General features: G+C 38.2%; 1 protein-coding gene across 4 annotated transcripts in view; it reads left to right on the top strand.

Moving 5' to 3' along the window:
* OR6N1 (olfactory receptor family 6 subfamily N member 1) overlaps positions 1-5,293 on the top strand; it is a 76,161-nt gene extending 70,868 nt beyond the window's left edge. For all 4 annotated transcript variants that reach the window (XM_017000325.2, XM_017000327.2, XM_017000326.2 and 1 more), the window contains one exon: positions 2,829-5,293. In XM_017000325.2, the coding sequence (XP_016855814.1) occupies positions 2,847-3,785 (939 nt within the window). In that variant the 5' untranslated portion in view covers positions 2,829-2,846 and the 3' untranslated portion in view covers positions 3,786-5,293. The remainder of the gene's footprint in view (positions 1-2,828) is intronic.
* The last annotated feature ends 7,617 nt before the right edge of the window (positions 5,294-12,910 follow it).

Below are 12,910 nucleotides of genomic sequence, written 5' to 3'. Positions count from 1 at the left end.
TATTTCATTTTTCCATCTAAAAAATTCTGACAGTTTCTTCACTTCAAATAAAAATTATATCTTCTGGCAAAGCATGGTGACTTATGCCTGTAATCCCAGCACTTTTAGAGGCCAAAGCAGGTGGATCACTTGAGCCCAGGAGTTCAAGACCAGCCTGGGCAATATGGCTAAACCCCATCTCTACCAAAAACACAAAAATTAGCCAGGCGTGGTGGTGCACGTTTGTAGTCCCAGCTACTTGTGGGGTGGAGGTGGGAGGATTGCTTGAGCCCAGGAGGTCAAGGCTACAGTGAGCAGAGATCCTGCCACTGCACTCCAGGCTGGGTGATAGAGTGAGATGCTGTCTCCAATAATAATAATAATAATAAATTATGTGTTCTATGAAATTTTCCTGATTTATCTCCATATCCAGCCCATGGCTTGTAACTCCTACTGCATATGCAAATTAGCAGTTATCTTAATAGATTTGCATATTAATTACATAAATATTTATTGAGTTGTAACTATATTTCAGACATGGCTCTAGGCACTTGACATACACCAGTAAACAAAATAGAAAAGAAAAAAATCTTTGCCCTTAAGGAACTTATAATCAAAGAGGAGAGAACCAATAAACAATAGGAATAAGAAATAAGTACATTTTACAGGTTAGAACATGACAAGTCCTCTGGAAAAAAAGTTAAAAATTAAGTAGAGAAAGGCAATAGCAGTACAGAATATGGATGTAAGGATGGAGGCACACTGCAGTTATATAGGGTGGCCCAGGTAGTTGAGCTGGTGAAATTTGAGCAAAGATGAAATAAATGAAAGAGCTATCCAAATGGTGAAAGAGATTCTAGAACAAGGAAAGAGCTACAGCAAAGGTTTTAAATGATATGTCACTGAACACATTTGATCGATGGAAACGCAGAACCTAATTTAGAATTTAACAGGATCACTCTGGTGTGTTGAGATGAGGCTACAAGTGAACAAATGCAAGTAGGGAGATCTGTTAGGAGTCAATTACAGTAAGAGGGGAGAGATAAAAGTGACTTGGACCGAGGTGGTCAAACATAGTCAGTTCCTGGATATATGAGAGAAAGATAGAAACAAGGATGACTGCAGGAGTTTAGCTTGTCAGTTGAAAGATTGCAATTGCCATCATTTGTGATGGGGAAGACTAGGGGTAGAGACCCCAGGAGTTCAGTTTGAGATGGCTCTTCGACTCCCAAGAGGAGATGTGAGTAGGCAGTGAAATATATGAGTCTGGAGTAGCAGAGAAAAATATCGCCTGAGATATGGATTTAGATGTCTTCAACACATTTATAGTGTTTAAAGCTCTGGTATTGGATGGTATAGAGCAGAGGAGTTGAGTTTATATAGAAGAGAAAAAAAAAAGATTAAACACTGACCATGGGCACTGTGACATTAAAAGGATGGGGCATGGAGGAGAAACTAAAGTTGGAGAATGAGAAGGAATGACTAATAAGATAGAAAGTAACCAAAAGTATAGTACCCCGAGAATCAAGTCAAGGAAGTGTGTGAACAGGCTGGATAAATCAATACTGTCAAGAAACAGATAGTCCAAGTAAGCTGAGGAATGAGAAATGACCATTGGATCCAGGAAATCTTAGATAATTAATGTCTATGAGAAAGGAGGTTTTAATGGAGTGGTGGTAGTATAAATCTAATTAGAGTGGGTTTAAGAAGAAACTTAAAGAGAGGCATTAAAGGCAATGCGTATAGCCGACTCTTGGAAGAGTTTTCTTTTAGGGACATAGAAAGAAATAGAGCAGTGGCTGTGGGATGAGTAAAGAGAAAGAATTTAAGGCTCTTGCTTTTTTGTTTGTTTAGTAGATGAGAATAATAGCATGTTTTTACATTGATAGAGTATTCCATGAAAGAGCTGTATAATAGTTAGTTGTTTCTCTATACTCTGTATTACAATATTAGTTTGTTAACATCAGGTGCCACATTTTATTTGTTTAGTCCCTGTTCTAAGTATAATGCCCAGAGTACTGAAAATAATCAATTATTGTTACATTGACCTCAACACAGTAGAGCATGTATATTTAATATCTACAGAAGCAATAAACCAGAAAAGAGCATTTGAAGTTGATAGAGGGGGAAATGGCAGGAAGAACTGATGAAGTGGCCACAGTCTGAAGTTGAAATGCAGAAAGATAGATTTGCCTCCTGTCTTTCTTTGGCTTTTTTATTTACTCTAACCTTCTTATTTTTGACTGGAGCTCTCACCAGTGTCCAAAAGAGGTCTAAATTCTGACCTACATGCCCCTGAAAGATGCTAGCAGACCTGAGTTCTCATAAAGGAATAGGAGGGAGCAGAAGGGAAAACAATTGATTCTTTGGTAGCCAGAAAGTTGAAGAAGAAAACAAATTAAAATGAGAAATTAGAAAATAATATTCAAATTATATATATTTGGTCCAGTACGGTATCAATATATTATCAGTATAAATGATGATTTTTACCTTAGATGAACAATATGTATAAATGTTAATATATACCTTGGATTAGAAATACCTAAATTTCTAAAATCTATATAGATTCTATTGAGAAAGTCAACTGGGTTACAGGATGGATTAGGAAGGCCAAAAATGAGCTGTGTTAATCAGGGAAGACTAAACATAAAGGTGAATAGTCTGAAGGAGGCTGTTGACAGGAAGGGCAGGGAGGGATGGAATTGAAATGTTGACCTCTCAAAGCATTTACTTAGAGGGCTTTACTCTGGAGGTGAGAGAAGGGAGGGCAATAGTAATTTGAGGGTTGCCTTCTTGTTAGAACCCTATAGTTCAACTTTCTTTCCTATCCTTCCACACTTCACATCTAGGGACATGAATGGTGAGCAATGGACACAGGGAACTGGAGCCAGGTAGCAGAATTCATCATCTTGGGCTTCCCCCATCTCCAGGGTGTCCAGATTTATCTCTTCCTCTTGTTGCTTCTCATTTACCTCATGACTGTGTTGGGAAACCTGCTGATATTCCTGGTGGTCTGCCTGGACTCCCGGCTTCACACACCCATGTACCACTTTGTCAGCATTCTCTCCTTCTCAGAGCTTGGCTATACAGCTGCCACCATCCCTAAGATGCTGGCAAACTTGCTCAGTGAGAAAAAGACCATTTCATTCTCTGGGTGTCTCCTGCAGATCTATTTCTTTCACTCCCTTGGAGCGACTGAGTGCTATCTCCTGACAGCTATGGCCTACGATAGGTATTTAGCCATCTGCCGGCCCCTCCACTACCCAACCCTCATGACCCCAACACTTTGTGCAGAGATTGCCATTGGCTGTTGGTTGGGAGGCTTGGCTGGGCCAGTAGTTGAAATTTCCTTGATTTCACGCCTCCCATTCTGTGGCCCCAATCGCATTCAGCACGTCTTTTGTGACTTCCCTCCTGTGCTGAGTTTGGCTTGCACTGATACGTCTATAAATGTCCTAGTAGATTTTGTTATAAATTCCTGCAAGATCCTAGCCACCTTCCTGCTGATCCTCTGCTCCTATGTGCAGATCATCTGCACAGTGCTCAGAATTCCCTCAGCTGCCGGCAAGAGGAAGGCCATCTCCACGTGTGCCTCCCACTTCACTGTGGTTCTCATCTTCTATGGGAGCATCCTTTCCATGTATGTGCAGCTGAAGAAGAGCTACTCACTGGACTATGACCAGGCCCTGGCAGTGGTCTACTCAGTGCTCACACCCTTCCTCAACCCCTTCATCTACAGCTTGCGCAACAAGGAGATCAAGGAGGCTGTGAGGAGGCAGCTAAAGAGAATTGGGATATTGGCATGAGTTGGGGCTGAGAGTAGGCCAAGGCCGGGCCTGAGGATATGGTGGCCCCAGGGATCAACAGTGGCCAGAGACGAGAAACTAAAAATTCAGTGCTTTTCTATGTGGGGTGGTGGAGCTGCAGCAAGTGCTGACTGACTTCCAGTGTTATAGCGACCTTCATACTGTCTGCTGGAGCCACATTTGGCTTGAGACCAGAGACTAGGGAAAGTACACATCCCTTCAACATGATGTAGTGCAGTGATTTTCAAAACTCAGATGTTTATGTATCACACTTAGGTTTTTTTTAAAATCTGTGTCTTACCTATTATACGTTTATAGGCATTTTTCAAATTTACTTGACTTAATATAAATATAGTCAGGCATGTCCTAAACAAAATGTGATTCATGATGTTTTTTGTACCACTTGCAATCATTTCATGTGGAGAAGACTGGTACAGTAGAAAAAAGCATGTTTTTTGAACTCATATATATCTGGATTTAAATCATGTTTTATTCAGTCACTTGCTAATTACTTAATCTTTAGAAAGTAACTTAGCATCTCTGAGTCTTAATTTCATTATTTGATAATGGTATTTTCTTGAAGAGTGTTTTGAATATTAACGTTAAGATTTGTAAACCACAGTGCACAGTGTCTGACATGTAGGTGATAGTAAATAAATAAGGACTTGTTTTTATTTATTTTATTCTGCGAAGACTTCACATCATTACTCTGGGTCTTAGAACAATATCTAGTAAAACATAAATAAACAAAAATACTTTCCAAGTATTTTCTCCAAAGGAAAGGAGCAAACCAGCCAGAAGGAATACTTGTATAGTATACAAGTATACTATACTTGAAAAGTATAGTTTGTCACAGTTCTGTTCTGACAAGTTTCATGTACCTGTCTTAGTGGTCCTAATATCTATGGCCAGTATAATGTATGAAAGTATAGGAGTTGAGTCAGTGGAAAGAAATAGGATTACTTTTTACATCGAACCATTTCTTTATTGAATTGTAAGCTAATTATTTCCTGAAACGTGTGAAAAATAATTCTAAAATGTAGCATATGAGAGATCTGGGGATTCAATTAATAGCTAATATTATGTATTCTTTATGTATCCTTCCATGAATGGAGGATCAAATATTAACTACAAGAAATCTTTGAATTCTATAGAACTTCCTAAGAAGATTACAAAATATTTTTAATACCACACTTTTAAAGGTATTCATCCATCCATGCATTCAAATTAACACGTTTATTTAGCTCTTACTATATATCAGATGCAGTGTCAACTCTACAAAAGCAATGAACAAGACATATATATGTCCAGGTCCTACCTTTAGGGTGTTTTAAAAGAGTTGAGAATATAAATATTAAAATTATAATTAATTTATAATTAGTTATAATTAATTATAATTGTGGGAAGTAGTATTAAGATAAACATGCATTCTCCTTTTTTTTCACTTGTCTTTGAAGTTTATTGAGAATTTTAAGCAGATAAATGTTTTTACATTAAATAATCACCAGGAATTCAAAATATTATACTCTATCAAATGGGAACTTGAATTGTTCTATTTATATATGTAGCATTCTATTTATAAATATATTTCATTTAGTGTTTCATCTAGAATAAAAATGACAAGAAATAAAATTATTAAAAACAAGTTGTGTTTGACTTTTGGTAAAATTTTTTGTCCTGGACATTTTTGATGACTAAGTATCACTAAATCTATGCTAGGTAAATTTGCCCCTATTATTTTCTTTTTTATTTTATTTTATTTTATTTCATTATTATTTTATTTAGGGTACATGTGCACAACGTGCAAGTTTTTTACATATGTATACATGTGCCATGTTGGTGTGCTGCACCCATTAACTCATCATTTAGCATTAGGAGTATCTCCTAATGCTATCCCTCCCCCATCCCCCAACCCCACAACAGTCCCCAGTGTGTGATGTTCCCCTTCTCAATATCATACTGAATGGGCAAAAACTGGAAGCATTCCCTTTGAAAACGGGCACAAGACAGGGATGCCCTCTCTCACCACTCCTATTCAACATAGTGTTTGATGTTCTGGCCAGGGCAATCAGGTAGGAGAAGGAAATTAAGGGTGTTCAATTAGGAAAAGAGGAAGTCAAATTGTCCCTGTTTGCAGATGACATGATTGTATGTCTAGAAAACCCCATTGTCTCAGCCCAAAATCTCCTTAAGCTGATAAGCAATTTCAGCAAAGTCTCAGGATACAAAATCAATGTGCAAAAATCACAAGCATTCTTATACACCAATAACAGACAAACAGAGAGCCAAATCATGAGTGAACTCCCATTCACAATTGCTTCAAAGAGAATAAAATACCTAGGAATCCAACTTACAAGGGATGTGAAGGACCTCTTCAAGGAGAACTTCAAAGCACTGCTCAACAAAATAAAAGAGGACACAAACAAATGGAAGAACATTCCATGCTCATGGGTAGGAAGAATCAATATCGTGAAAATGGCCATACTGCCCAAGGTAATTTACAGATTCAATGCCATCCCCATCAAGCTACCAGTGACTTTCTTCACAGAATTGGAAAAAACTACTTTAAAGTTCATATGGAACCAAAAAAGAGCCTGCATCACCAAGTCAATCCTAAGCCAAAAGAACAAAGCTGGAGGCATCATGCTACCCGACTTCAAACTGTACTACAAGGCTACAGTAACCAAAACAGCATGGTGCTGGTACCAAAACAGAGATATAGATCAATGGAACAGAACAGAGACCTCAGAAATAACGCCGCATATCTACAACTATCTGATCTTTGACAAACCTGAGAAAAACAAGCAATGGGGAAAGGATTCCCTATTTAATAAATGGTGCTGGGAAAACTGGCTAGCCATATGTAGAAAGCTGAAACTGGATCCCTTCCTTACACCTTATACAAAAATCAATTCAAGATGGATTAAAGACTTAAACATTAGACCTAAAACCATAAAAACCCTAGAAGAAAACCTAGGCATTACCATTCAGGACATAGGCATGGGCAAGGACTTCATGTCTAAAACACCAAAAGCAATGGCAACAAAAGCCAAAATTGACAAATGGGATCTAATTAAACTAAAGAGCTTCTGCACAGCAAAAGAAACTACCATCAGAGTGAACAGGCAACCTACAACATGGGAGAAAATTTTCGCAACCTACTCATCTGACAAAGGGCTAATATCCACAATCTACAATGAACTCAAACAAATGTACAAGAAAAAAACAAACAACCCCATCAAAAAGTGGGCGAAGGACATGAACAGACACTTCTCAAAAGAAGACATTTATGCAGCCAAAAAACACATGAAAAAATGCTCATCATCACTGGCCATCAGAGAAATGCAAATCAAAACCACAGTGAGATACCATCTCACACCAGTTAGAATGGCAATCATTAAAAAGTCAGGAAACAAGAGGTGCTGGAGAGGATGTGGAGAAATAGGAACACTTTTACACTGTTGGTGGGACTGTAAACTAGTTCAACCATTGTGGAAGTCAGTGTGGCGACTCCTCAGGGATCTAGAACTGGAAATACCATTTGACCCAGCCATCCCATTACTGGGTATATACCCAAAGGACTATAAATCATGCTGCTATAAAGACACATGCACCCGTATGTTTATTGCGGCATTATTCACAATAGCAAAGACTTGGAACCAACCCAAATGTCCAACAATGATAGACTGGATTAAGAAAATGTGGCACATATACACCATGGAATACTATGCAGCCATAAAAAATGATGAGTTCATGTCCTTTGTAGGGACATGGATGAAATTGGAAATCATCATTCTCAGTAAACTATCACAAGAACAAAAAACCAAACACTGCATATTCTCACTCATAGGTGGGAACTGAACAATGAGATCACATGGACACAGGAAGGGGAATATCACACTCTGGGGACTGTTGTGGGGTGGTGGGAGAGGGGAGGGATAGCATCGGGAGATATACCTAATGCTAGATGACGAGTTAGTGAGTGCAGCGCACCAGCATGGCACATGTATACATATGTAACTAACCTGCACAATGTGCACATGTACCCTAAAACTTAAAAGTATAATAAAAAAAAAAGTCAGGAAACAACAGGTGCTGGAGAGGATATGGAGAAATAGGAACACTTTTACACTGTTGGTGGGACTGTAAACTAGTTCAACCATTGTGGAAGTCAGTGTGGCAATTCCTCAGGGATCTAGGACTAGAAATACCATTCGACCCAGCCATCCCATTTCTGGGTATATACCCAAAGGATTATAAATCATGCTGCTATAAAGACACATGCACACGTATGTTTATAGCGGCACTATTCACAATAGCAAAGACTTGGAACCAACCTAAATGTCCAACAACGATAGACTGGATTAAGAAAATGTGGCACATATACACCATGGAATACTCTGCAGCCATAAAAAAGGATGAGTTCATGTCCTTTGTAGGGACATGGATGAAGCTGGAAACCATCATTCTCAGCAAACTATCGCAAGGACAAAAAACCAAACACTGCATGTTCTCACTCATAAGTGGGAATTGAACAATGAGAACACATGGACACAGGAAGGGGAGCATTCTCTTCTTGAGAAAGTTGCATTTAAAATGAAAACTGAAGAATAAGTCAGTTAGCCACTTTTATGAAAGCATCATGCATAGCAACTTTTTTTTTTTTTTTTTTTTTTTTTGAGACGGAGTCTCGCTCTGTCGCCCAGGCTGGAGTGCAGTAGTGCGATCTTGGCTCACTGCAAACTCCGCCTCCTGGGTTCATGCCATTCTCCTGCCTCAGCCTCCTGAGTAGCTGGGACTACAGGCACCCACCACCACGCCCGGATAATTTTCTATATTTTTAGTGAAGACGGGGTTTCACTGTGTTAGCCGGGACGGTCTCGATCTCCTGACCTCGTGATTCGCCTGCCTCTGCCTCCCAAAGTGCTGGGATTACAGGCGCGAGCCACTGCACCCAGCCGCAACTATTATCTCTAATCTGAAATATTAGAAATGTAGAACTCGGTTGATGAAACAACTTGCCAAAACTATAGAGTAAGTCAGAGTCAGGGACGACTCTGAATTAAGAAAAGTATTCATCCTTCCAGGCTAGGTTTCTCTAATCTTTAAAAGGCCCAGGGAAGGAAAGGAAAAGGACTAAGATATGAAAGTAATAGTTTAAAACATAACAACCAGGTTATGGGTTTGGAAACAAAAATGCAGTGTCTGAGTGGCTGCCAAGGGTGCTTTGTTCCTTGGGACTTCACTCGCTGTTTAAAGAAAGTGATTTAAACTGAGAGAATGATGGTCTCTACCCCAGTTTTAGAGAAGCATTGTTTAACCCCATACTCTGAGAGATTTTGACTCTTTTGCTAAAGCATTCAATTACAAGACTGATAATTTTTCAAGTCCAAAATAAAAATAACTCTGTCTTATGAAAGTTAGTAAATTTCTAAAGTGAAGGAACAATGCTGCATCATAAATGGGACTCTATTTCTTCCTATTTTCTTTCAGAGTTGGGGTCTTGCTCTGTTGCCCAGGTTGGAGTGTATAGGTGCAATCATAGATCACTGCAGCCTCAAACTCCTGGCCTCAAACAATCCTCCCTCCTCAGCCTCCTAAGTAGCTGGTGTTACAAGCATGAGCCACAGCATTTTCTACCTGTGAAATGGTAAATTGCTGTTTTGTTTGTGTCAAAATATTATATAACAGTTTCAGTTCTTGCCCCTGAGAAAGTCACTTTGTGAAATTTGGAGAACTCAGCTATTGCTGCTAGGATTTCAGAAAGCAGAAACTAAAGATTTAATAGCATCCTCTGGAGTTTTCCAACATGTTGGCCCTATAAGTAATTTTTGTCTCATAACAATAGTAAAAGTAACTGCTAAACATTATAGGCACTGTGCTCAGTATTTTTATATATATAAATGATTATATATATAATATATATTATATATATATAGTCTTTACAATCTATGAAACTCCCATATTATAGATAGGAATATTAAGACCCAGAACACCTGTGTCAGTTTTCAAAGTTGTATAGCTGGTTAGTGGAAAAGCCATGATTCATGTTTGGACAGTAGGATTTTGAAGTTCTTAGTCTTAGTGAGACCTTAGGTCTACTCTAATAAAGAGAAGCTTTCTCGTTATTGGAACTAGTTAACACTGGGAAGGCCACCTTAGTTAAATGTTCAAGCAGAGGCTAAATTACCTTTTTTGTCATATGCTGATGAGGAGTTCATATATTTAGGTGTAGAAAAAAATAGATGTCTTTTTTTAACTTTTATTCTAAGTTCAGGGGTACATGTGCAGGTTTGTTACATAGGTAAACTTGTGTCATAGAGGTTTGTTGTACAGATTGTTTCATGACCCAGGGATTAAGCCTAGCACCCATTAGTTATTTTTCCTGCTCCTCTCCCTCCTCTCACCCTCAACTTTGTGAAACGTTCCAATGTGTGTTGTTCCCCTCTATGCGTCCGTGTGTTCTCATCATTTAGCTCCCACTTGTAAGTGAGAACATGCAGTACTCGGTTTTCTGTTTCTGTGTTAGTTTGCTGAGGCTAATGGCCTCCAGCTCCAACCATGTCCCTGCAAAGAATATGATCTCATTCCTTTTTATGGCTGCGTAGTATTTCATTGTGTGTATGTACCACATATTCTTTACCCAGTTTGGCATTGATGGGCATTTAGGTTGATTCCATGTTTTCACCATTGTGAATAGTGCTTAAATGAACATACACGTGTATGTGTCTTTATAATAGAGTCATTTATATTCTCTGGGTATATATGCATCTGACAAAGGTCTAATATCCAACATCTATAAGGAACTTAAACAAATTTACAACAGAAAACAAACAGCCCCGTTAAGAAGTAGGCAAAGAACATGAACAGATACCATCTCACACCAGTTAGAATAGCTATTATTAAAATGTCAAAAAATAACAGATGGTGGCGAGGCTGTAGAGAAAAAGGAATGCTTATACACTATAGATGGGAGTGTAAATTAGTTCAGCCATTGTGGAAGACAGTGTAGTGATTCTTCAAAGACCTAAAGACAGAACTAGATGTCTTCCAAGATAACTTCAGGTTCAGAGCAAATGAGGAAAAATGGCTATTCTTTTACACAGATGACCTTAAGGAAAAAGTAAGAACATCAAACTAATAGGAGAGAGCCTTATACTGAACAAGGGCTGGGACTAAGAAGAAGTTAAGGGGGGTACCTGAAAATAAAGTAATGAAGGATCTGGATAGACTTATTATTTTAGCCTGGCTCATATGAGTTCTGCTTCCACTTGGGTGGCAAATTTTCCATTCTTTACTCCTTCTCCGTCTGTTTTCTTAGGCTGATATGTGCACTGCTTATCATTGACATCAAAGGCTGCCCCTTCTCACTCTATCTCCTTTCTTCCCACAGGCCTTGATCCACTGATTCTCTCAGCCAGCCCAACCTGTCAATCAGTTGGTGCACTAACTTTTCTCATGTAAAAAGAAGTTCATATTTATTAAATAGAATTGTTGATGATAAATGAGATAATACATGTTAGGAAATTGTTAAAAATCAGTATTAAATAGCCTCAGCACTAGAAATGATCTTAGTGATCATCCAGCCCAGCTGTTCCTAAATCAAGAACAAAGCTTGGATAGTTGACAGATAATCTGCAGAATTATATACTGTGTTCCAGCAATCAGAAAGATGAGAAAACGTTTCTGCTATCTGTGGACCCCTACTTAGTCTAATGAGAGATGTGGGACAAACAAAACTATATTAATAGCAAGAGAAACAAAAAGAGAAAAGTCATATCAAAATAAGGGCCAATATTGGTCCTAAAATCAGTGCCAGAGATATTAGTGTGAGGAATCTTTCTTGAAGACTGCAGTAATTTGGAACCAGGTTGAGAAGCTGGAGGCAACAGTAGTAAAAATAATTATGTCTGAGGTTCAGTCGTAAAGGTTAAGGATACCTTTGTGAAAAGAATCAATGTGCAGGGTTGAGAGAGAGAAGAGAATAAAAAAGGGTACCATCTAAAGAGGTTTCAAACACACACAAAAAACTTCAGAAGGTTTAGAGGAAATAAAATGGCCTGGGAACAATGAGTCCATAGGGATTATCCTGTCTCATGACAAGAAAAACAGTAAATTTTATGGGTAATGACATTCTCATTAATAGCAGCGATAATGACTCATTAGACTCCGAGACCTCCAAAGCCAAGACCATTCATATGATAGCCACTAAGTGAATGCTCTGCACCTAACAGGGTGCCTGACATAGAGTTCCTACTCAAATTTTTAAAAAATAAATAAATCTTGATGACTCAAGGAATAAATTCTTTCACCACTTAATGTACGATAATTTGTAATTACATTTACTTATTGAATACCGTATTTCCTTTAGAAATTTTATTAAGTTTAGTGATTAGGATGAAAGCCTGTGAACTAGGTATGAGATCATGGTCAATAAAGACATGGATCTGGAACCAGACATAATGAATTTCTGCCTTAGATTCATAATAATTATCTCTGTGTACTTGGACTAGTTATTGCAGCTCTGTGTACCATGTTTCTCATGTAAAAAGAAGTTCATATTTATTAAATAGAATTGTTAATGATAAATGAGATAATACATGTTAGGGAATTGTTAAAAATGAGTATTAAATAGCCTCAGGACTAGAAATGATCTTAGTGATCATCCAGCCCAGCTGTTCCTGAATCTTACCCATCATCTGAATTTTCTGGGAGATTTTTAGAAATGCAGATGGCCAGGCTTCACTTTCAGATTTTCTGAACCACAAATGTTGACAATCAGTTTGAGCAATCACTGATCTAATCCAACCACATAATTATAGAGGAAGCTGAAGGCCAGCAAATTAAGTGGATCATCCAAAATGGCACAACTTAGTGTCAGAAAAAGGTATAAAATACAGTCCTTAAATCTCTTTGTCCCATAGTCTTTCCATGATGCCACAATCACGTGAGGGCTGGGGAATTCATGGAGGAAAGAACCATTAACTCCTAGGACTCATTAAAAACTGGTAAGGTTTCATTAAACTTTGGGGAAAAGAAGTTTGCATAATTTAGTTTTTTGAACATCAAGTAATTTACACAAAATTATATATTTAATGGAGACAGAGAATACAGTAGAGTACCTA

Source organism: Homo sapiens, chromosome 1, assembly GCF_000001405.40.
Source record: "Homo sapiens chromosome 1, GRCh38.p14 Primary Assembly".
NCBI classification, from domain to species: Eukaryota; Metazoa; Chordata; class Mammalia; order Primates; family Hominidae; genus Homo; species Homo sapiens.
The sequence above is the reverse complement of the archived record's forward strand: the minus strand, read 5'-3'. Positions and strand labels throughout refer to the sequence as shown.